This window comes from Homo sapiens, chromosome X (genome assembly GCF_000001405.40).
Source record: "Homo sapiens chromosome X, GRCh38.p14 Primary Assembly".
In the NCBI taxonomy this organism is placed as follows: domain Eukaryota; kingdom Metazoa; phylum Chordata; class Mammalia; order Primates; family Hominidae; genus Homo; species Homo sapiens.
Window position 1 is genome coordinate 71,118,264 of NC_000023.11, and position 24,216 is coordinate 71,142,479.

The window sequence follows — 24,216 nt, forward strand, 5'->3', positions numbered from 1 at the left end:
CTAAGAAACGAACTGATCTGTAATAGACGGAGTTCCTAACCAATGCAAATATTATTGAAGACTTTTCTAGGCCAAAACCGAGCTAGGCTATGGGAACCGAAGTCCAGTCAGAACTCAGCACCACAGAGGCCTCCTTCTTCCCTGGTTTGCATCCCCAGCTCATTCTGCGCCTCCGGAACGTTTCATAGATTTTTGCTGAGTGAAATCGACTTGCTGCCGCCACCGCCGAAAAACTCCCGGGGCACAGAGCTCCGCCCCCACCGGGCCAGGCCCCACCTCCTCTGCAGTCGGTATTGTCCGATGGTTCCCGGCGTACCTCGGCTTCCCTCGGTAGTTTCCGGCAATGGTCGAGAGTTTCTAACGTGCCCCCTTGTTGTCTCTCGGCCGCCGTCCTCTCAACCACCGCCCCCCTTTTCGGCTCCCTCTCCCCCTTCCCGTTCCCCCAGTCAGCCTGGCCCTGCTGGTGCCTCCGGCGCTACGGGCTGGGCAAGATGGCGGCCTTCGGGATCTTGAGCTACGAACACCGGCCCCTGAAGCGGCCGCGGCTGGGGCCTCCCGATGTTTACCCTCAGGACCCCAAACAGAAGGAGGTGCGTTCGAAAATCGGGGCTCTGGAGGGGCCGGGGGCACGCGGTCAGCCTAGGAGGAGGCACTGACGGCTGGGAATGGGGGGCGGGGCGGTTCGGTGAGAGCAAAAGTCCCGAAAGGGGGAAGAGTAAAGTGGGCTGGCGTGGGAGGGCAGGACGGGGGGCGGTGGGGGGTTCCAAGGTATGAATAGGGGGTGGTGTAGGGGCCGCACCAGAGGCGCCCTCCTCCACACACACCTCAGAAAGTTGTCTGAGACAGCTTGGTGGGGTACGGCTGCTCGGCTGTTCGCAAGAGAAGAGTGATGTTTGAGGGCGCGCTGGGTGGCTGGGAATCCTAGTGACCATGGGAGTGAGGGTGGGGTCCAAGTGAACGTAAGGGCCCAGCTTTAAGTAACGATCTGTTCTACACGGAACCCTCCTCCTGCCCTTTCACCTTGTTCCTTCTTTTCTCCTGCCCTACTCTCCCACCCCTTCCCCCTTCCCCTAAGGAAAAAACAACTAAACGCCGCTTTCCTGCCTCAGGATGAACTGACGGCCTTGAATGTAAAACAAGGTTTCAATAACCAGCCTGCTGTCTCTGGGGATGAGCATGGCAGTGCCAAGAACGTCAGCTTCAATCCTGCCAAGGTGAGACAACTCTGCCAGGCTGAAGGAAAAGGCTGGAAGAATCTAAGAAGGAGCAAAGGCCCTGGGTTGGGAAGACTTATAGGGACAACCTAAGTGGCTGAGTTTGCCTTCATGACCTAATACTATCTCATTGGCATTTGCCCAGCAAAAGGCAGGACCACCTGTCTGCCCCTTCTTCCCACCCTGAGGTACACTTTTCTTCCCTCAGATCAGTTCCAACTTCAGCAGCATTATTGCAGAGAAATTACGTTGTAATACCCTTCCTGACACTGGTCGCAGGAAGCCCCAAGTGAACCAGAAGGATAACTTCTGGCTGGTGACTGCACGATCCCAGAGTGCCATTAACACTTGGTTCACTGACTTGGCTGGCACCAAGCCACTCACGCAACTAGCCAAAAAGGTAAGGTACTGTTTCCTGTCCTTCAGGCCAAGGAGGGAGCATGGGGTACCAAGTACCCTCCTATTCCCATATTAAGCTACATGGGTGTCAGCTCATGGGGATAATAGAGACCTCACTATTTGCAATGTCCATCCAGGTCCCCATTTTCAGTAAGAAGGAAGAGGTGTTTGGGTACTTAGCCAAATACACAGTGCCTGTGATGCGGGCTGCCTGGCTCATTAAGATGACCTGTGCCTACTATGCAGCAATCTCTGAGACCAAGGTTAAGAAGAGACATGTTGACCCTTTCATGGGTGAGTAACTCCTAACACCAGGTGTACTGCTGATGGCTTCAAGGAGTGATAGAGACACCCTTGGAACCATCCTCCTTCTTAATCTAGATTCCTTGTTTCTGCTTGTTTCTTGCATTTGTTTGATCAGTAAACACTGAGAAATTTGAGTGTCTACTGTGCGCATATACTGGGCTACAAAGATGTCCGGTGCATAATCTCTGCCCCTAGGATACTAGTAGTCTAACAGGGCTGCTAAGGTATATGTACAAATAACATAATTAAATATAGAAAGTGGTGAATGTCAAGCTAGGAGCAGAAGGTTCTTTGAGTGGACAAAAGATTACTTTCTTATGGGGGTACCCGGAAAGGCTTTAGGAAGGTGGGATTTGACTAGAGACTAAAAGGATGAACTGAATTTACAAATATGGTGATTAGGGGTGGGGGTAAGGTATTCTAAGTAGAAGGATTTTTTTTTTTTTGAGACAGAGCAAGACTCTGTCACCCAGGCTAGAGTGCAGTGGCAGGATCTTGGCTTACTGCAACCTCCACCTCCCGGGTTAAAGTGATTCTCCTGTCTCAGCCTCCCGAGTAGCTGGGATTACAGGCGCCCACCACTGCGCCCGGCTAATTTTTGTATTTTTCTAGAGACGGGGTTTCACCATCTTGGCCAGGCTGGTCTCGAACTCCTGACCTCGTGATCCACCTGCCTCAGCCTCCCAAAGTGCTGGGATTACAGGCATGAGCCACCGCACCCAGCCAGTAGAAGGATATTCTAAGCAGAAGGATAGTATCAAATAGCCCTTTTTCCCTCTTTCCTCCAGAATGGACTCAGATCATCACCAAGTACTTATGGGAGCAGTTACAGAAGATGGCTGAATACTACCGGCCAGGGCCTGCAGGAAGTGGGGGCTGTGGTTCCACGATAGGGCCCTTGCCCCATGATGTAGAGGTGGCAATCCGGCAGTGGGATTACACCGAGAAGCTGGCCATGTTCATGTTTCAGGTAGAGAGTAGGGCATGCTGTGTGGGGCATTGGGTTGAGCTTGAACTTGTACTCTGCCAGTAGAGAACAGAATCTGCCTGCCACCTTGCCCCAGTTGTGGTTCTCTTCATCTTTTCATTTACTTTATCTGCTTCATCTCTAATAGTCCCCTCTTCCCTCCCCTGGTACCCATAGGATGGAATGCTGGACAGACATGAGTTCCTGACCTGGGTGCTTGAGTGTTTTGAGAAGATCCGCCCTGGAGAGGATGAATTGCTTAAACTGCTGCTGCCTCTGCTTCTCCGAGTAAGGCTTGGAATTTTGGTACTGGTGGGGCAGGGGGAGTCTAAGAAGAATTTGAGGAAGAATAAAATGTTAGAGCAGGGTCCCCTGGAGAGAACTAGGGGCTCTGATGGTCGTGTCTTCACAGTACTCTGGGGAATTTGTTCAGTCTGCATACCTGTCCCGCCGGCTTGCCTACTTCTGTACACGGAGACTGGCCCTGCAGCTGGATGGTGTGAGCAGTCACTCATCTCATGTTATATCTGCTCAGTCAACAAGCACGCTACCCACCACCCCTGCTCCTCAGCCCCCAACTAGCAGCACACCCTCGACTCCCTTTAGTGACCTGCTTATGTGCCCTCAGCACCGGCCCCTGGTTTTTGGCCTCAGCTGTATCCTACAGGTAGGTACTAGGCGGGCCCAAGGAAGCATTGAGAGATAGCCTGAGAAGAATCAGGTGCCCATCCCAGAGAATAGGGGTAATTCCAAATTGGATGTGGGAGTAGGTGCTGAGTACTTGCTTGGAGGTTGTTGTTTCTTGGTAATGGGGTGTTAGTCCCCTTTGGGGGTTTTCACCAGCCTCTCTCTCCCTTCCAAGGCTAAATAGTGGGCCCAAAGCCTTTTAGGAAAGTGAGTGAAGGGAGGGGATCGGGGTGGAGTGATGCCTGTCTTGGGGACCCAGTCAGAATAACTTTGGATCTGGAATCTACGGGTTGGGTCTTAGAATGGGATTCCAGAGGGGTAACCATGGTGAATGAGTTGGACTTAGCTGTTTCTATCTGGTAGACCATCCTCCTGTGCTGTCCTAGTGCCTTGGTTTGGCACTACTCACTGACTGATAGCAGAATTAAGACCGGCTCACCACTTGACCACTTGCCTATTGCCCCGTCCAACCTGCCCATGCCAGAGGGTAACAGTGCCTTCACTCAGCAGGTATGTCTGACCACTAGCCTGGTACTCTCAGATTGGGCTATGAGGCTAAATTACTCTTTCAGAAGTAGTGATTTGGAGTCTAGTACTATTCTTCTAGCCTGGGGCTCTGGCCTTTTATATGCCTTGGTACATCCTTGTAGCCTTCCTTTTTAACATTGCAGGTCCGTGCAAAGTTGCGGGAGATCGAGCAGCAGATCAAGGAGCGGGGACAGGCAGTTGAAGTTCGCTGGTCTTTCGATAAATGCCAGGAAGCTACTGCAGGTATGTGTCAGAGAACAGATAATAGGAAATATGTTTGAGGAAAGGATGGGGATAGTAAGGACATGTAGATCTAAGAGCCAGAATGCACCGGGCCTCTGGTTCAGTCCCCTTTACCACTTTTCCTCCTTAGGCTTCACCATTGGACGGGTACTTCATACTTTGGAAGTGCTGGACAGCCATAGTTTTGAACGCTCTGACTTCAGCAACTCTCTTGACTCCCTTTGTAACCGAATCTTTGGATTGGGACCTAGCAAGGATGGGCATGAGGTAAGCGAAAAGGGGAATAGAAGGAGCAAAAAACATTGCAAGAGCAATAATATGTCTGAGAGGGAAGTCATGGTGAGGCATTGAAAGCAGAGCATATCTGCAGAAATGATCTTACTGGGCCCAGGATGTTTTATGATAGAGCCCAGTCTTTAGGAAATTGGAACTCATTTCTTTGTCCCCACCCCTACCTTACTCCTCCTTCTCTTCCTTTGTTCTCCAGATCTCCTCAGATGATGATGCTGTGGTGTCATTGCTATGTGAATGGGCTGTCAGCTGCAAGCGTTCTGGTCGGCATCGTGCTATGGTGGTAGCCAAGCTCCTGGAGAAGAGACAGGCGGAGATTGAGGCTGAGGTTAGAGGGCAGAGATAAGAGAACAAGATTGGCCAATGGGAAGGAATTTACTGCGGTTGGAGACCGAGAGATGGAGGTGGTGGAGGGACCAGAGTTGAAGGTGTGAGAACAGAGTAAAGAAGCAAAAGAGAACCTAAAGGCAAAGTTACGGACGTGAGGCGAAAGTAGAGAAGAGTGGATTGTAGTAAGAGTTAGAGATAACATCAAGGCTTCAGTTGGGAGGTGGTAAAGAACATGGAGGTCAGCAGGGGAATGAAAGTGAAAAGCATGGGGTAGAGGTCAAGCAGGTGGTAGTTTAAGGCCTACACATTGAGGAGTGAAGAAGCAGGTAAAAGTCAGTTCTACAATTTGTTCTGTCATCTTGCAGCGTTGTGGAGAATCAGAAGCCGCAGATGAGAAGGGTTCCATCGCCTCTGGCTCCCTTTCTGCTCCCAGTGCTCCCATTTTCCAGGATGTCCTCCTGCAGTTTCTGGATACACAGGCTCCCATGCTGAGTACGGACCCCTACCACTCTCTAGTTACCTCTGCCTAGACTCAGTTACCCACCACTGTCATCAGAAAGCATAATTAACAGCCCTCTGGTCTATATTTCTCTCTTGGGCTCTATGCAGAATGACTTTTAGATGTAGTTCTAGTGATCCTCTTTAACTGGTCATCTTACAGTTAAACAGAGTAGAGAAATACAGAGAAGGATAAAAACAAGAGCTTGTGATTGAAGCATTTTCACTGCATAAATCGCAACAAAGATGTTACATTCCTTTCTGAGATGATGTGTGGGACAGCATGTGGGGTAACCAACCACACTTTGTCCCTCAACAATTTCTGGGATTTCTATTTGATCACTCTTATTATTGCCTTAGGTGTGTCCCTCTCTCTTTTGGCCCACCTTTTTGTGTTCTCCTAACTTATGTTTCCTCATTCCCTTCCTCCAGCGGACCCTCGAAGTGAGAGTGAGCGGGTGGAATTCTTTAACTTAGTACTGCTGTTCTGTGAACTGATTCGACATGATGTTTTCTCCCACAACATGTATACTTGCACTCTCATCTCCCGAGGGGACCTTGCCTTTGGAGCCCCTGGTCCCCGGCCTCCCTCTCCCTTTGATGATCCTGCCGATGACCCAGAGCACAAGGAGGCTGAAGGCAGCAGCAGCAGCAAGCTGGAAGTGAGTGGGCTTTTCCTTGCACTAGATCGTTTCTTCTGACATTTCCATCTTCATGGCTCCCAGGGGCCTCTAAGAGCCTCTTTTGCCTGGGGGAGGGGGGTAGTATTTTTCTTAGCACTTGGTGATTGACCAAGCACTCTCACATCAATTGTTTCATTGGTTCCTCCCATCAGCCTTGTGAGGTACTCTTATCCCCATTTTCAAACTGAAGAAAACAGAGGCCTATACTGGTTAAGTGATTGGATGAGGCTTGACTCCAGATCCTGTGCTTTCCCCAATCTGGTCTTCTCTCTCCACTTCCCCAATGAAGTTTTACAGATGGTGGGAGCCACTCCCTAGGGCTAAAGCAACTTCGCTTATGTTCTATGCCCTCAGGATCCAGGGCTCTCAGAATCTATGGACATTGACCCTAGTTCCAGTGTTCTCTTTGAGGACATGGAGAAGCCTGATTTCTCAGTAAGTTCAATCCTGAGCGTGGCAGAATCTGGATCCTTGGATCTTCCCATTATGCCTGCTTTTGGCATGTTTTTTTGCCCCCTCATCCACTTTCCTTCTTCTCATGTTCTGCTTTCTCACCTTTCTCTCAGTTGTTCTCCCCTACTATGCCCTGTGAGGGGAAGGGCAGTCCATCCCCTGAGAAGCCAGATGTCGAGAAGGAGGTGAAGCCCCCACCCAAGGAGAAGATTGAAGGGACCCTTGGGGTTCTTTACGACCAGCCACGACACGTGCAGTACGCCACCCATTTTCCCATCCCCCAGGTACTATTCCCCAGCACCTTGTGATGATCTGTTTTGAACCCAGATTGCTGTCAAAGGAATTTGCTGAGGGGTTGGAGCTGTTCTGAGGATGTGGGTTGGGAAAGGGAAGGGCTTTAGCATGTGGATGCTGAGGGGTGTGGAGCATGCTTTCAAGAGGAGGGAAGGAGATCGGTGCTGGAGTCTGATGGTGCTGCTGGGATGCAGGAGGAGTCATGCAGCCATGAGTGCAACCAGCGGTTGGTCGTACTGTTTGGGGTGGGAAAGCAGCGAGATGATGCCCGCCATGCCATCAAGAAAATCACCAAGGATATCTTGAAGGTTCTGAACCGCAAAGGGACAGCAGAAACTGGTGGGTTTGAGGCTCCTTAAACAGATCTCCCCCAAAGAATGCCCTAGTCAGTCTTCCCTTCCCCAGTATAGGGAACTCCCCAGTCATGTCCCAATGTCCTGTCTCTTGGAGTCTCCTGAGAGCTCTAGTCCTTTTGAAACTTCCCCCCTCATTCCCCCCCTCTACAGACCAGCTTGCTCCTATTGTGCCTCTGAATCCTGGAGACCTGACATTCTTAGGTACCTCACAGTAAGCCCCATACTGCCCTCCCTCCCTCTCCCTTCCCTCCCTGAACCTAGCACCTCCCTGTACATATTCCTTTAAGGTCCACATAGTCTGTGGTCCTCTAAACCTTTGCTTCACTGTCCCCTTCCCTTCATTCCTCCCCCATCCCTTCCTTGACCCTCCCTTCCCTGTTTCCCTCTTCCTTCCTTCCCTCCCTCCCTCCTTCCATCTCTCCCTCCCTCCCTCCCATAGCCTTCTCTCCATACCCCACTCCCCACCCCTAGTCAACTAGTTATCTTCCCTGTCTTGACTGGTCCCTTTCAACTGTCCCCTCAGGTGGGGAGGATGGGCAGAAGCGGCGACGCAACCGGCCTGAAGCCTTCCCCACTGCTGAAGATATCTTTGCTAAGTTCCAGCACCTTTCACATTATGACCAACACCAGGTCACGGCTCAGGTGTGGGCCTAAGCCCAGCCCCTTTCCCACATTCTGGCCTCCTGTTCTGTTTTCCTTTTCTTCCCTATCTTCTCCCTGCTAGGCAGGCTAAGCCTCCTGGTCTCATCCCCTTCCAGTGTCATCCTTTCCTCCTTCCCTGGTTCTTTCCTCTCTCCACTCCCATCTCACTCCCACTGCCCTTATCAGGTCTCCCGGAATGTTCTGGAGCAGATCACGAGCTTTGCCCTTGGCATGTCATACCACTTGCCTCTGGTGCAGCATGTGCAGTTCATCTTCGACCTCATGGAATATTCACTCAGCATCAGTGGCCTCATCGACTTTGCCATTCAGGTGGGGAAGTTGGGGAGATGAGGGTGGAGGCAGGAGTTCATGCCATATAGCGGCTACGGAGGGTCATAAGGACAGGCGTAGAGGCTCCAGCCAGTTTCCCAAGCTATTTGAAGGGGCAGAAAGACTAGCATGGGGGGAGTGGAACATGAGCTAAGACTGCAGGAATAGAGACTTAAGTGCTCCCTGGGGAGGCCAAGAGGCAGATTAGAGCATTGGGCACAGACCATCCTCCCACTGTGGAGTTCATAGAACTGTATCCTGGACACTGGTTAGAGGTGTTGTTGATAGAATAAACTATCAACAATAAACTATCAATAGAGGTGTTGTTGATAGACTGTGGCATAGGGTAACGAGCCCTTCTATCCTGTGGTGGCTCCAGCAGGAAGGGGCTCAGGCCCAGCCTTGCCAGCGTCCCCACAGGAAGGTGGTTTCTATGTAACACAAGGGGCCTCTTTGCATTTCTCACCCCCGTTTACTCTGCTAGCTGCTGAATGAACTGAGTGTAGTTGAGGCTGAGCTGCTTCTCAAATCCTCGGATCTGGTGGGCAGCTACACTACTAGCCTGTGCCTGTGCATCGTGGCTGTCCTGCGGCACTATCATGCCTGCCTCATCCTCAACCAGGACCAGATGGCACAGGTCTTTGAGGGGTAAGCAGAGCTTCGGAATAACTGAAACAAAGCTCTGGCGAATGCCGGTGGAAGTGGCCTGGGAAGAGCATGCACTTCCTCACACTCTGGGGAAGCACCTGCTGCTCAGGTGGGAAAAGAATGGTATTTCCCAGAGGCTTGAATCTGTTTGGAGGAGCCCGCATACCATCTGCTGACCCTCCCAACCTTGCTTCTTCATGCAGGCTGTGTGGCGTCGTGAAGCATGGGATGAACCGGTCCGATGGCTCCTCTGCAGAGCGCTGTATCCTTGCTTATCTCTATGATCTGTACACCTCCTGTAGCCATTTAAAGAACAAATTTGGGGAGCTCTTCAGGTAAGAGAGGTGGAAGGTAAGGGGTAGCGAGTGGGACCTACTCCCTTCTTCCCATGACCACCCAACTCAGGAGGAGAGGATGGCCCGGGACCCTGCTGCCTGTCTAGGGTCATTTGTGGACTGTGTCCTCCACATACTGTTGTGTTACCAAGAGTGGGCCCTCTTCCTCAGCAGGCTTGCTCCCCGCCTATATCTGTGGGGCCCACCCTCTTCCCCCTTTTCCTCACTGCCTTCAGAGGCCCCAGTTCCTTATTCCCATGTGGTTCCTTTCCTGCCCAGTCTGTTTTGTCCCATCTCCCTTTTCTTGTCTCAAGATCCTTCATCCCTCACTTTCTCCTTTTTTTCTTTTCTCCCCTTTCCTGACCATCCCTCGACCTCAGCAGGCCTTCTTCAACACTACTATCTCCTTTCCTCCATCCCTGCAGCGACTTTTGCTCAAAGGTGAAGAACACCATCTACTGCAACGTGGAGCCATCGGAATCAAATATGCGCTGGGCACCTGAGTTCATGATCGACACTCTAGAGAACCCTGCAGCTCACACCTTCACCTACACGGGGCTAGGCAAGAGTCTTAGTGAGAACCCTGCTAACCGCTACAGCTTTGTCTGCAATGCCCTTATGCACGTCTGTGTGGGGCACCATGATCCCGATAGGTATGGGGTGTACTGAGTGAGGAAGGGCACCATGCCCCCATCTGAGATAGGGAGGGCTGAGGTACCCGGGAGGTACTACAACCTTGATTATTTAGTGGGGCAGAGATGAGAAGTTAATGGGTCTGAGGTTTTGTGGAGCAAGGTTTTTCCTGAGGGCATTTGTACTTTTCCCTAGGGTGAATGACATCGCAATCCTGTGTGCAGAGCTGACCGGCTATTGCAAGTCACTGAGTGCAGAATGGCTAGGAGTGCTTAAGGCCTTGTGCTGCTCCTCTAACAATGGCACTTGTGGTTTCAACGATCTCCTCTGCAATGTTGATGTGAGACTTGGGGTGGGGTTTTGCTAGTGGGGCAGTGACCAGGGCAGGGGGCTGGTTGTGATCCTCTGACCAGGGACAGAGTTCCGTAGAGTGGAGGCACACCGCTTTGAGTGGGCCTCCACACTGAGTCATGGTGTCTGTCTGTTTTTTCCTCCAGGTCAGTGACCTATCTTTTCATGACTCGCTGGCTACTTTTGTTGCCATCCTCATCGCTCGGCAGTGTTTGCTCCTGGAAGATCTGATTCGCTGTGCTGCCATCCCTTCACTCCTTAATGCTGGTGAACTACCAATCTGTAACCCCTAGCATTTCTAGACCTCAAATTTCAATACACACTGGACGGCCATCCTCTCATTGTTCACTGTGGGAGACCTTGCTGCGGCTCCCTGGCCTTCCTCAGAAGGCCAGTCCTTTGGTATGCTGAAGGCTAGAAGAAACCTGTTTTTTAGCCCTGGATTTGCAGCCCTGACCTTTCCAATTTCTGACCCTTCAACTGCGTAACAGTTCTCTGCTCTACCTCGCTTTCAATATTATCTTGCTTTTTCTCCTTTCACTTTACCTCATCTTCTCTCCCATGCCCCTGCCATACACTTGCATGCATGCAGGCACGCACACACATAAACCCACATACAGTTTAACTTCATCCCTTCCAGATCTGTTTTGTCTTCCTTTTAGCTTGTAGTGAACAGGACTCTGAGCCAGGGGCCCGGCTTACCTGCCGCATCCTCCTTCACCTTTTCAAGACACCGCAGCTCAATCCTTGCCAGTCTGATGGAAGTAAGTGACCCTGATCTGAACCAGCCAACAGTAGAAAGTGTGGTTCCCCTGCCTCCGTGGATTCTACTTTTGCTTCCCCTGACTTCATCGCCTTCCCCAGACAAGCCTACAGTAGGAATCCGCTCCTCCTGCGACCGCCACCTGCTGGCTGCCTCCCAGAACCGCATCGTGGATGGAGCCGTGTTTGCTGTTCTCAAGGCTGTGTTTGTACTTGGTACGGGGGTAGGAAGGGAGTGGTGCCAGAAGTGTGTATAGGGTGGAGTGCCAGCTAAACTACAAGGGACAGTCTTTCTCCCTTCTGAAGGTGGTCTCTCTGACCTTTGGGGAGGAGGGGAGGGAGAGAAGTATATTTCTGTCCCATAGGGCAGGATTTGGGGTGTTTCTACCTCTGTGGGCCCAGGGTGGGTCTCCACACGTGTTCCAATCTCACTCTGCCCTCCCTATCTCCCACCCGTGAACCACAGGGGATGCGGAACTGAAAGGTTCAGGCTTCACTGTGACAGGAGGAACAGAAGAACTTCCAGAGGAGGAGGGAGGAGGTGGCAGTGGTGGTCGGAGGCAGGGTGGCCGCAACATCTCTGTGGAGACAGCCAGTCTGGATGTCTATGCCAAGTACGTGCTGCGCAGCATCTGCCAACAGGTCAGTTTCACCTTCCTCCCACACCTCCTAAATGCCTCTGTGTAATATAGTTCTGTTTCCAGCCCATGATCACACCAGCTCCCTACTATACATTGTGTTCCTTAACAACTCCAGCCCATCCCCCATATTCCTAACCCCCTCACTGGTTGTTCCCAGTCCCTGATTGTCAGCTTCCTCAGGAATGGGTAGGAGAACGTTGCCTTAAGTCTCTGTGTGAGGACAGCAATGACCTGCAAGACCCAGTGTTGAGTAGTGCCCAGGCGCAGCGCCTCATGCAGCTCATTTGCTATCCACATCGACTGCTGGACAATGAGGATGGGGAAAACCCCCAGCGGCAGCGCATAAAGCGCATTCTCCAGGTAGGCCAAGGCCGTGGGGGCTGTGGAGGAAGCAGTGGGCCCAATCTGGGGAGAAACAATAGGAACCTTGAGAAAAGGAGAGGGGCAGTTAAGTAGAGAGGAAGACAAACAAGGATATAGGGGAGGGGAGAGGTAGCGAGAGAAACAGCTCCAGCATGGGCTGAGGAGTAAGTCCAGTAGGGTCTAGACTCCAGTGTAAGAGTATTAGGTGAGGGCATAGCTATCTGGAGTGAATCTAGCTTATCAATGGGAAGCATAGCATCTGGGAGGCCTAGGTGTGGGCCGTGTATATTTGGCATTTTGGCCATGGCTCAGGAACTGAATAGTAATAGCTACTACTTGCTGAGCATGTGCTTTGTGCCAGGTACTGTGCTAGGCACTCTGCACACATTTCCTCATTTAATCTTTATGACCCTATGAAGTAGGTGAGCCTCCCTGTTTGACCGATGAGGAAACTGAGGCTTGAAGAGGTTAAGTAACTTGTCTAACGTCACATAGCCCATAAGTTTAGAGTCAATATGTGAACCCAGACATGTCTGTGCACTTTCCTCTTCACATTGCTTCACACCTTCAGATGACCAGAGAGTGGAAAAATAAAGCCGTTGAGGAAAAGCTAAAGGAATAAGGTCTCTTCAGCCCAGAAGAGATAGTGTTGAAGAGAGATTAGCTAACAGTAGCCTTCTGGTCTCTACAGGACTTTGAGAGATTGTCTTATAAAGGTTCTGTCAGGGACTTTGAGCAGCTGGTCTAAAACAAGAGAAGCAGGCTTCAACTTTAACATCAAGGGTTTCAAGGTTAAGCATTAAGCAGAACTTCCTGATACGAAGGGATGGGAAAGATGTGAAATCTTTCCTGAACTATTTTAAAAATTGGAAAGATTTTCAACTAGTTTGGACTATTTAAATGTAGTCTTTTTTTTTTTTTTTTTTTTGAGACGGAGTCTCGCTCTTGTCGCTCAGGCTGGAGTACAGTGGTGCGATCTCGGCTCACTGCAACCTCTGCCTCCCAAGTTCAAACAATTCTCCTGCCTCAGCCTCCTGAGTAACTGGGATTACAGGTCGCCCATCACCACGCCCAGCTAATTTTTGTATTTTTAGTAGAGATGGGGTTTTGCCATGTTGGCCAGGCTGGTCTTGAACTCCTGACCTCAGGTGATCCGCCTGTCTCAGCCTCCCTAAATGTAGTCTTTCTTAAAGATGGGGACATAGAGGTCCCTTTCAGACCTCCAGGAGTCTGTGATTCAATGTTGCAGGAGATCAGGAATTGGCCTCAGATTGTTGGGTAGCTGGGGGTAACACGATGATGACTAGCCTGGGTGTGGGGCCTCTATCACAGAACTTGGACCAGTGGACCATGCGCCAGTCTTCCTTGGAGCTGCAGCTCATGATCAAGCAGACCCCTAACAATGTGAGTAGTGCCTGGACCCTCCCTTTCCTGTGCTCACGTTCAGCTCCATGTGTCAGGGAGGCGGTCCACCACAGAAGAACCTAGATCCTACCCTTGGGCTCTTGAGCTGAGAGATAAGAGGGGATGGGAAAATGGTGAACAAGTGGAGCTGATGATAAGGGAAATGGGTTGAGAGTGTTGGAGCTCTGAGCTGTGGGGAAGCTTGGTGGTGGTGGTGGAGCCTGTTTCTCTGGCCATAGATGTAAGGAGGTATGTAAAGGAGAAGACAGTGAGGAATTGGAGAAATATGGAGGTACTAGAGGGCATGATTCCCAACAGAGTTGCGTTCCTATCTCCCCATCAATCTCCGCCAGTGTTGTCCTTCTCCGTCATCTCCGATCTCTCCTACCATCTGCTTTCCTTCACCCTTAGCTACCTATTTTAGCACTTCTGTGCCTTTCATCCTCCCCAGGAGATGAACTCCCTCTTGGAGAACATCGCCAAGGCCACAATCGAGGTTTTCCAACAGTCAGCAGAGACAGGGTCATCTTCTGGAAGTACTGCAAGCAACATGCCCAGCAGCAGCAAGACCAAGCCTGTGCTCAGGTCGGATAGAAACATGTTAGGACCCATCCCCTTAGGAGTTTATCTGCTGGTAGCGTGAGTGATATCAGATGCGTGGAGATGCCAGCATGTCCATCAGGGAAAGGAGAGGATAGATTGTTCCAGCCTTGCCTGGCTCCCCTGTGACCCTGTGTCCTCTGTCTGTTCTCCAGCTCTCTAGAGCGCTCTGGTGTATGGCTGGTGGCCCCCCTCATTGCTAAACTGCCCACCTCAGTCCAGGGACATGTGTTAAAGGCTGCTGGGGAAGAATTGGAGAAGGGTCAGCACCTGGGTTCCTCTTCACGCAAAGAACGTGATCGACAAAAGCAGAAGAGGTAAAGGGGCTTAGGGAGTGGACCAAGATTGAGGGGTAGAAAGGAGAAGAGGCAGGCCCGGGGAAGAATAAAATGGGCCAAGGAGAAGCATCATAGGAAAGTGGAAAATCAGAGGATAAGAGTGGGCATGGCTGAGCAAGAGGCTAGATCTTAAGAGAGTAGTCTGGAGAATGAGGTTGGAAGTTGACTCCCAACCCACAGTCTCCCTTTTCTCCTCTCCTCTTCTCTCCTCTTCTCTTCTCTTCTCTTCTCTTCTCTTCTCTTCTCTTCTCTTCTCTTCTCTTCTCTTCTTTCTCTTGTCTCTAGCATGTCCCTATTGAGCCAGCAGCCCTTCTTATCGCTGGTGCTAACATGTCTGAAAGGGCAGGATGAACAACGCGAGGGACTCCTTACCTCCCTCTACAGCCAGGTGCACCAGGTACAGATCTCTGGGCCATGGAGGTGGGCAGGAGGTCAGGGAAGGATGCACCTAAGGGGTTACTCTGTACTTGGAAACTTCAGTACTTTCTGATAAACATATTGGCTGCTGTGGGATGGAAACACGAAGATCCCTGAGCTGCATATTTTATTTGTTTCTATTCTAGATTGTGAATAATTGGCGAGATGACCAGTACTTAGATGATTGCAAACCAAAGCAGCTTATGCATGAGGCACTCAAACTGCGGCTCAACCTGGTGAGAAGGCCAGCTGGGGAGAAGAAGGAAGAGGGTAGGGCTGGAAATGCGGAGTGCAAAAGCCTCAGGTTGGGGAGAATGGGGGTAAGGATAGAGGCCCCAGGTTATTCTGAGTCTTGAAGGGTTTTTTTTTTTTTTGGAGTCAGAGTCTCACTCTGTCACCCAAGCTGGAGTGCAGTGGCGCCATCTCAGCTCACTGCAACCTCCACCTCCTGGGTTCAAGTGATTCTCGTGCCTCAACCTCCTGAGTAGCTGGGATTACAGGTGTGTACCACCACACCTGGCTAATTTTTGTATTTTTCATAGAGATGGGGTTTGACCATGCTGGTCAGGCTGGTCTTGAACTCCTTACCTCAAATGATCCGTCTGTCTCGGCCTCCCAAAGTGCTGGGATTACAGGCATGAGCCACCGTGCCCAGCCTGAGTCTTGAAGTATTAACCTTGTTCTCTGAAAGTATGCAGGGACTGAAAGTGGTTAAGGGGGCTGGATCACTGTGGTCATGGTCCAATAGGTTATGTACCCTGGATCCTTGCAGGGCCTCTGCCTCAGTATCCTAGATTCTGACTGGGCCCTAGAAGCACTGGAAACCCACTGTGGAATGTTGAATGGAATCCTGGAAATCATTCTGTCCAATTCCCATCACTTTCTAAGTATGGAAACAGAGGCCTAGAGACGTCAAGAATTCCGTCATTGTCTTGAGATCATGTAGCAAATCATAGGCTCAACTCAAGCATGGCCGGGCGCGGTGGCTCACGCCTGTAATCCCAGCACTTTGGGAGGCCGAGGTGGGCGGATCACGAGGTCAGGAGATCGAGACCATCCTGGTTAACACGATGAAACCCCGTCTCTACTAAAAATACAAAAAAAATTAGCTGGGCGTGGTGGCAGGCGCCTGTAGTCCCAGCTACTCGGGAGGCTGAGGCAGGAGAATGGCGTGAACCCGGGAGGCGGAGTTTGCAGTAAGCCGAGGTCGCGCCACTGCACTCTAGCCTGGGTGACAGAGCGAGACTCCGTCTCAAAAAAAAAAAAAAAAAAAAACTCAAGCATGAACTCAGGCGTCCCAACTCAGATTGGAACTAAGCTTTCCTGAAACTCTGGCCTTTGTCCCTGAGCCATCTGACTGACTTGTTGTGGCCCTGGCAGGTGGGGGGCATGTTTGACACGGTGCAGCGCAGCACCCAGCAGACCACGGAGTGGGCCATGCTCCTCCTGGAGATCATCATCAGCGGCACTGTCGACATGCAGTCCAACAAGTAAAGCATCCCCACCCGCTCCCTGCAGTTTCATACCCAAGAAGCTCCCCCTACTCCCATGCCAGGTGCACCCACTGAGATTGGTGTGGCTGTTACTGTGGACTCCGTGGCCCTGGGCTCCCCATACAGTTTTGGTGCCCTTGGGATGACATATTAAGCACCTCTCCCTGCTTGTGTCCTCTGCTGAGGCCTTTTTCTATCTTCACCTCTTTCTTCTTTGGTTTTCTCTCTGGCTTCCTGTCTCAGTGAGCTCTTCACTACTGTGTTGGACATGCTGAGCGTGCTCATCAATGGGACATTGGCTGCAGACATGTCTAGCATCTCGCAAGGTAGCATGGAGGAAAACAAGCGTGCATACATGAACCTGGCGAAGAAGTTGCAGGTAAGCAGAGGAAGCGGGGGCAAGGTTTGCGGTTACTGGAATCTGCTGTCCAGCCTCAGGAACTTGCTTCTGGCTGGAGCCCTCTACCTTTCCTTCTCACGTCTGCCTTTTCTTTGTTACTCATGCCGTGAGCATTTACTGAGTGGGGGTCTTCTCTGTGCCAGGTTCTGTGCTGTCCCCTGAGACTTCCCATCCCTGTTTTCTGTATCTCTGAACTCTTGTCCCATCTTCCTGTGCCTGCAGAAGGAGTTGGGGGAGCGCCAGTCAGACAGTCTGGAAAAGGTTCGCCAGCTGCTGCCACTGCCCAAGCAGACCCGAGATGTCATCACGTGTGAGCCACAGGGCTCCCTTATCGATACCAAGGGCAACAAGATTGCTGGCTTCGATTCCATCTTCAAGAAGGAGGCATGTTCCATTGTCTGCCCGTGTCCCTTGCCTTTTTTCCCCTTTGGGCAAGAACTTTGCCTGCATCAGCTTTGTAGCTCCAACAGACTCATCAGATTCAGGAGCCCATCAGTCTCTGCCGGTGAACACCATCTCTGGGGTTTTGAGCAAATCACTTAACTTTCCTTACATTTCATCTCCATCTTTGAAGTCCCACCCTCTTTCCTTCACCCTGCCCTCACCTTTTAACATACCACCCATTTTTCAATACCCTACCCTCCTCTTTCCTCTGCTCCACCTGCCCCATGTCCTACCCCACCCATCTATCTGGCCGACAGCCTGTATCTCTTTTATTTCTGTGTTTCCCTACACCCACCCATCTCTGCACACTTTTATCTTTTCCCTCTCTGTCAGTTGCGGTATTTGTTGAGTAACCATAATTATTGTGTATAGTTTAAAACCCAAAGTCTAACTCCTTCATATATACATTCTCTTCATCTGTCTTCCTAGTCCATCTGTCTCTTTTCCTCCGTCTCTGTCTCTCTCCCTGTCTGACTCGTTTGCCTTTCTTTGTCTCTCCACCTTTTTGTCTCTCTCTTCCTGTTTCTTTCTCTCTCTGACTCTTTCTCGGCCTGCCTAAAGGCAGAGTCTCTCCCTGCCTTCCTCTCTCTCTTTCTCTGCCTTCCTTTTTCTGTCTTCCTCTGAATGTCAATCCCTCTCCCTCCCCGCTCCCTCTCTGGCTTTCTCCCCAACCCCTTTCTCTCCCGATCTTCTCTCCCCACACGCCCCCCGCCCCGTTAGTTCATCTCCTCTCCTGGTCTGGGCTGGCTTCATCTTGTGCCTCCACACCTCTCCCTGTGCCCCACCCTTCACTCTCTCCCCGCATAACTCTCTTCCGCATGTATATGTGTATCCATGTCTGTCTGTCTGCTTCTTACCATCTCTCCTGAATCTGCCTATGACTTTCTTTCTACCCATTCCTACAAATGCTTGCAGTCTTCTGTTTTCTAAGTCCCAACAGCTTATTGTTTTTCATTTTCTGGAGCAGGGTCTACAGGTTTCCACCAAACAGAAGATCTCGCCCTGGGATCTTTTTGAGGGGTTGAAGCCGTCAGCACCACTCTCTTGGGGCTGGTTTGGAACAGTCCGAGTGGACCGGCGAGTGGCTCGAGGAGAGGAGCAGCAGCGGTTGCTGCTCTACCACACACACCTGAGGCCCCGGCCCCGCGCCTATTACCTGGAGCCACTGCCACTGCCCCCAGAAGATGAGGAGCCGCCTGCTCCTACCCTGCTAGAGCCTGAGAAAAAGGCTCCAGAGCCCCCCAAAACTGACAAACCGGGGGCTGCTCCACCCAGTACTGAGGAACGCAAGAAGAAGTCCACCAAGGGCAAGAAACGCAGCCAGCCAGCTACCAAGACAGAGGTGAGCGCCTCCCCCGTGACAGTTCTCCCACAGCCTCTCACTTCATGACGCTCCGGTTTCTGGTTTGTGGGAGGGGTGGGGGCGCATAAGGAAGGGGTGCCATTAGAATCATAATAAAAATTAACCATATACGAATTCAGCTCCTCTTTACCTCATTCTCCCCCAGCTCCCCGACCCCATTCAGCTACAACCCACTCACCCTCTTCCTCTGCCACTCACACAGGACTATGGAATGGGCCCGGGTCGGAGCGGCCCTTATGGTGTGACAGTGCCTCCGGACCTCCTGCACCACCCAAACCCTGGTTCTATAACACACCTTAACTACAGGCAAGGCTCCATAGGCCTGTACACCCAGAACCAGCCACTACCTGCAGGTGAGTGCCAGCCACTAGGAATGCTGGAGGGACCTACCTGTACACTCCCCCTGCCCAAAGGATGATGCCATTCCCCTGAGGAGCTATGGATGTCAAGGACACTGAGCAAGAGACAGAGGGATGAGGAGCCTAGAGGTCAGCCCACTCTCCTTTTCAGGTGGCCCTCGTGTGGACCCATACCGTCCTGTGCGCTTACCAATGCAGAAGCTGCCCACCCGACCAACTTACCCTGGAGTGCTGCCCACAACCATGACTGGCGTCATGGGTTTAGAACCCTCCTCTTATAAGACCTCTGTGTACCGGCAGCAGCAACCTGCGGTGCCCCAAGGACAGCGCCTTCGCCAACAGCTCCAGGCAAAGATAGTGAGAGGGGCAGTAGGGAGGGCTGTCAGGGAGAGGGGCTTTTGAGGGTCACAGGACGGAGGAGACACTTGGGATCTTCACAAGGACACTCAGGGTGGGAGACACAAGAGATGAGATGGCAGCAAGCATTTCCTGAGTTTGAGTTGTTCTCTTTTCTCCCTTTAGCAGAGTCAGGGCATGTTGGGACAGTCATCTGTCCATCAGATGACTCCCAGCTCTTCCTACGGTTTGCAGACTTCCCAGGTAAGAGCCTGGGATTGTGAGACTAGGGGGATGAGGCAAGCTGCTCTGCATACTCTCGGCCCTGATTCCCTCTCTCCTTCTTCCCTCCAGGGCTATACTCCTTATGTTTCTCATGTGGGATTGCAGCAACACACAGGCCCTGCAGGTACCATGGTGCCCCCCAGCTACTCCAGCCAGCCTTACCAGAGCACCCACCCTTCTACCAATCCTACTCTTGTAGATCCTACCCGCCACCTGCAACAGCGGCCCAGTGGCTATGTGCACCAGCAGGCCCCCACCTATGGACATGGACTGACCTCCACTCAAAGGTACCCAAAGTAGTGGTGAGCTAGGAAGAGATGCAGAGGTATAAGGGAGCATTTGACTTGGGAAAGCCTGTGCCTGAAAGTGGTGGGACTGGTCAGAACTTTCGGAGACATCAAGAATACTTATCTGGCCACATAGCCCATAACCACAGAAGTCTCGAGCTGGAAGGGACCCTGGAGACCAATAGTTTCATGACTACTTCCTTAACAGTTCTTTGAGGCCCAGAGAGGGGAAATTGTTTATCTGACTCAAGGAAAAATCTGGGCTGGGTGTGGTAGCTCACACTGGTAGTCCCAGCACTTGGGGGCCCAAGGTGGGAGAATCAGTTGATTCCAGGAATTCGAGGCCAGCCTGGGCAACATAGGGAGATCCCATCTCTACAAAAAAAATACATATTTTTTTGAAACAGAGTCGCACTCCATTTGCCCAGGCTGGAGTGTCGTGGCATGATCATGGCTCACTGCAGCCTCGACCTCTGAGGCTCAGGTGATCCTCCTACCTCAGCCTCCCAAGTAGCTAGAACTACAGGCACACACCACCACGCCCAGCTAATTTTTTGGATTTTTAGTTGAGATGGGGTTTCGCCATGTTGCCCAGGCTGGTCTTGAACTGAGCCACCACACCTGGCCAAAAAAAAATTTTTTTTTAATTAGACAGGCGTGTTGGTGCATGCCTGTAGTCCCAGCTACTCAGGAGGCTGAGGTGGGAAGATTGCTTGAGCTTGGGAGTTTGAGGCTGCAGTGAGCTGTAATCGCACAATGAGCCGAGATTGTGCCACAGCACTCCAGTGGTGACAGAGTGAGACCCTGTCTCAAAAAAAAAAGAAGAAAGAAAAGAAAAAGAAAAAAATATCTGGAGTTCATAGATGAACTACATGATAAGGAGTCGTAAAGCCAGTACCGGCTTTGAATACCAGGTTAAATACCAGGATGGACAAATGAATGAATCCTCCCACCATGGTTAACGTTAGTCAAGCCTTAGTTGAGGCCTTGTAACCATGTATAGAGACTCTGAAGCTTAGGATTAAGAACACTGGGGAGTGGGCTAACTGCCCATTGTGTGGCCAGCACTATACCAGGACTGGGTGAGGTGAAGAAAGATAGCAAAAAAAACCCCCACGATACATAGTTCCTCACTACAAAGAATCTTTACTATAGCTGGGGAGATGAGACTTATAGAAGAATATTGAGAGAACACTCTGAGCAAAGATATAATCAGGTATGCAGTTGTATGCTATGAGGTAAAATGTGGATTGAGAAAAAGTACGTGGTAATATCTGTGGGCCTGACTCATCAGAGAATGTTTCATGAAGGAGGTCAGACTTGAGTTGGCCTCTGAAGAATAGCTGTGATTGGGATTTGTGGAGAAGAGGAAAAGAAAGGGCATTCCAGGTAGAGGATGTAACGTGAACAAAGACATGGGGACCAGAATGAGGATGGTGCCTGGGGAGAAGGGCCTGGATGGAGTGTAAAATCTGTGCTGGGGAAGTCACTGGGGCTAGGCTAGGAGGGGGCAGGCTGAGAGATGGCCTTGAATGCTCAGCCGAAGAATTGAGACGCAGTCCCAGAAAGGGCTCTTTTGATCAGAAGAGTGATAGGAGGAGTTGGGTATGTTGCAAGGTTCCTTGGAATGAATGGATAGGATGTGTACTGGAAGGTGCAAGAAGAAGACTTCAGGCCAGGCACGGTGGCTCATGCCTGTAATCCCAGTACTTTGGGAGGCCCAGGCAGGCAGATCACCTAAGATCAGGAGTTCGAGACCAGCCTGGTCAACATGGTGAAATCCCGTCTCTACTAAAAATACAAAAATTATCTGGGTGTGGTGGCATGTGCCTGTAATCCCAGCTACTTGGGGGGCTGAGGCAAGAGAATCACTTGAACCTGAGAGGTGGAGGTTGCAGTGAGCCGAGATCGCATCATTGCACTCCAGCCTGGGCAACAGAGTGAGACTCTGTCTCAAAAAAAAAAGAAGACTTGAGACGGGGAGCCTGGCCAGTAGACTCTTGAAGTGATATACACATGTGGTAGAACAACTTGAAATGTTATTTGGGAACAACAACAGCAACAGCAAAAAACCTCAATGAGTGTTTATAGAATGCCTATCTTGTGCTAAGACTATTTTTTTCTTTTCTTTTCTTTCTTTTTTTTTTTTTTTTTGAGATGGAGTCTCGCTCTGTCATCCAGGCTGGAGTGCAGTGGTGCAATCTTGGCTCACTGCAACTTCCACCTCCCAGGTTCAAGCAATTCTCCTGCCTCAGCCTCCTGAGTAGCTGGGATTACAGGCATCCACTACCACGCTCAGCTATTTTTTTTTGTATTTTTGCTAGAGATGGGGTTTCACCATGTTGCCAGGCTGGTCTAGAACTCCTGACCTCAAGTGATCCACCCACCTTAGCCTCCCAAAGTGCTGGGATTACAGGTGTGAGCCACCGCACCCAGCCCTATTTTTCATTTTTGTAACAGAAAAATAGCTAATGCAGAATTGAAAAATTCCTAACCATTAAGGTTATGAGACACTAAAATAGAGTATCATCTTATGCAACTTATTCCCCAGACTGGAAGTCTGGTTAGTGACACGAGGAATGAATGAAATAACCTGCTAACGTTTCTTTCAGGTCAGGGACCCAAGGTTTATACTGACCCCCTCTCCTCACCTCCCTCATGCCTTGACCTCTGACCCTCTTATCTTTGGAGGTTTTCACACCAGACACTGCAGCAGACACCCATGATAAGTACCATGACTCCAATGAGTGCCCAGGGCGTCCAGGCAGGCGTCCGTTCAACAGCCATCCTACCTGAGCAGCAGCAGCAGCAGCAACAGCAGCAACAGCAACAGCAGCAGCAGCAGCAACAGCAACAGCAGCAGCAGCAGCAGCAGTACCACATCCGGCAGCAGCAGCAGCAGCAGATCCTGCGGGTAAGGCACTGGGATTTCATCTGGGACCTGGGAGCCCAGGGAGGAAGAGAGGCACAAGTTCTTCCCACACAGTTACCGAGACTAAACAAGGCAGTGTACCAAAACACCTAGCAGAGCGGCTGGCCTCTAGTGGTGCTGGAGAAGTTTTCTACCCTCCCCCTTTTTGTTTTCTGGGGATCATAGTGGGAGAGAGTTGGACATTGTCTGCTGGGTACCCTAGATTTGGTTTCTTTCTGTGCAGCTGTCTAAAAAGGGAAGGCAGTAGACCCCGAGCTCCCACCCTGCTTCCTCATCCCCTGCCCTCAGCCCTTTAGTTCTGAGGCTTAGCTTCCTCCCTCTGCTCCTTCTGAAGTATCTTTTGTGTTCTTATAGCAGCAGCAGCAACAGCAACAGCAGCAGCAGCAGCAGCAGCAACAGCAACAGCAGCAGCAGCAACAGCAACAACAGCAACACCAGCAGCAACAGCAGCAACAGGCGGCTCCTCCCCAACCCCAGCCCCAGTCCCAGCCCCAGGTAGCTGCTGGACTACAGCCCCAGGCTCAGGGACAGCTGCCCAGGTTGGGCACGCAGCCAGTGAACTGGGTTGGGGACAGTATGGAATAGGGTAGAGGTGGGAGGCAGGGCATGGCACCCTAAAAATGGATTGGGAGGCCAGGCGCAGTGGCTCACGCCTGTAATCCCAGCACTTTGGGAGGCCAAGGCAGGTGGATCACTTGAGGTCAGGAGTTCAAGACCAGCCTGGCCAAGATGGTGAAACCCCGTCTCTACTAAAAATACAAAAAATAATAATAATAAATAAGCCGGGCATGGTGGCAGGTGCCTGTTATCTCAGCTACTCAAGAGGCTGAGGCAGAGAATTGCTTGAACTTGGGAGGCAGAGGTTGCAGTGAGCCAAGATCATGCCACTGCACTCCAGCCTGGGGGACAGAGCGAGACTCCATCTCAAAAAAAAAAACGGATTGGGAAAGGAGGTTGAAGAAGGAGAAAAGTTCGACTTCAGTCTTCCACTTCCTATTTCCACCCAGTTCCAGCGCCAGGGGCTTCAGCAGACCCAGCAGCAGCAACAGACAGCAGCTTTGGTCCGGCAACTTCAACAACAGCTCTCTAGTAAGCCTGCCTGCCTTCCCAAGGAGAACCCCATGGAATAAATTTAGGGGGCGGGGTGGGCCAAAGTAGCTGAAACGATAGCTTCAGGCCCAGGTTATGAGAGGAGGCATTCCATTCCATCCCCTTCCCTCGATACCTGAACAGCTTTCCTCGTGCATACCCACACCCCTGCCTGGTCTTCCATCCCTGATAATCTCTGGTTTTTCACAGATACCCAGCCACAGCCCAGTACCAACATATTTGGACGCTACTGAGCCACCTGGAGGAACTGCTTGTGCACTGGATGTGGCCCCACCCTTTCCTCTTAATTCCCAATCCCATTCCTGGGCTAGCACCAGTAGTGGTTGGGGCCCTCCCCTCAGGCTCCATTTTTAATAAGTTTTTAGTATTTTTGTTAATGTGAGGCATTGAGCTGTTGGGTTTTGTATATTATTTATATAGAGACCCCAGAGCTGTTGCACCCAATACACAGAGCTTCTTTGCAAAGGGAGTGTGCGAGTTCTGCATGTCTGGGA

At 51.1% G+C, this 24,216-nt stretch overlaps 1 protein-coding gene across 7 annotated transcripts, besides 1 other annotated feature; it reads left to right on the plus strand.

The window, feature by feature from the left end:
* MED12 (mediator complex subunit 12) lies at positions 333-24,187 on the plus strand. 7 transcript variants are annotated; one of them, XM_047442703.1, is made up of 45 exons: positions 333-590; positions 1,110-1,214; positions 1,423-1,614; positions 1,751-1,907; positions 2,708-2,889; positions 3,064-3,174; positions 3,299-3,553; positions 3,937-4,083; positions 4,245-4,344; positions 4,475-4,611; positions 4,832-4,963; positions 5,331-5,457; positions 5,896-6,125; positions 6,501-6,581; positions 6,713-6,883; positions 7,088-7,232; positions 7,400-7,450; positions 7,773-7,891; positions 8,078-8,221; positions 8,706-8,869; positions 9,073-9,204; positions 9,630-9,857; positions 10,033-10,177; positions 10,335-10,455; positions 10,851-10,952; positions 11,053-11,166; positions 11,417-11,592; positions 11,772-11,951; positions 13,287-13,358; positions 13,810-13,943; positions 14,114-14,275; positions 14,582-14,693; positions 14,860-14,949; positions 16,094-16,203; positions 16,450-16,585; positions 16,829-16,990; positions 18,018-18,392; positions 18,616-18,766; positions 18,924-19,129; positions 19,295-19,372; positions 19,463-19,517; positions 19,593-19,680; positions 22,372-23,107; positions 23,620-23,701; positions 23,912-24,187. In XM_047442703.1, exons 1-43 carry the CDS (start codon positions 492-494, stop codon positions 22,703-22,705), a joined length of 6,312 nt encoding a protein of 2,103 aa, XP_047298659.1. In that variant the 5' UTR covers positions 333-491; the 3' UTR covers positions 22,706-23,107; positions 23,620-23,701; positions 23,912-24,187. The 7 variants fall into 7 exon arrangements, with proteins under 7 accessions (XP_047298659.1, NP_005111.2, XP_047298660.1 ...); NM_005120.3 differs by having other exon boundaries at positions 18,924-19,120; positions 19,463-19,680; positions 22,372-22,594; positions 22,967-23,107; XM_047442704.1 differs by having other exon boundaries at positions 18,924-19,120.
* Positions 4,287-5,486: an enhancer, noted in NCBI's record as "BRD4-independent group 4 enhancer chrX:70342400-70343599 (GRCh37/hg19 assembly coordinates)". NCBI's record gives its function as "activates an origin of replication core promoter dependent on BRD2, P300/CBP, MED14 and CDK7 cofactors, and independent of BRD4, by STARR-seq in HCT116 cells {active_cell/tissue: HCT116}" and the evidence as "EXISTENCE:reporter gene assay evidence [ECO:0000049][PMID:35650434]".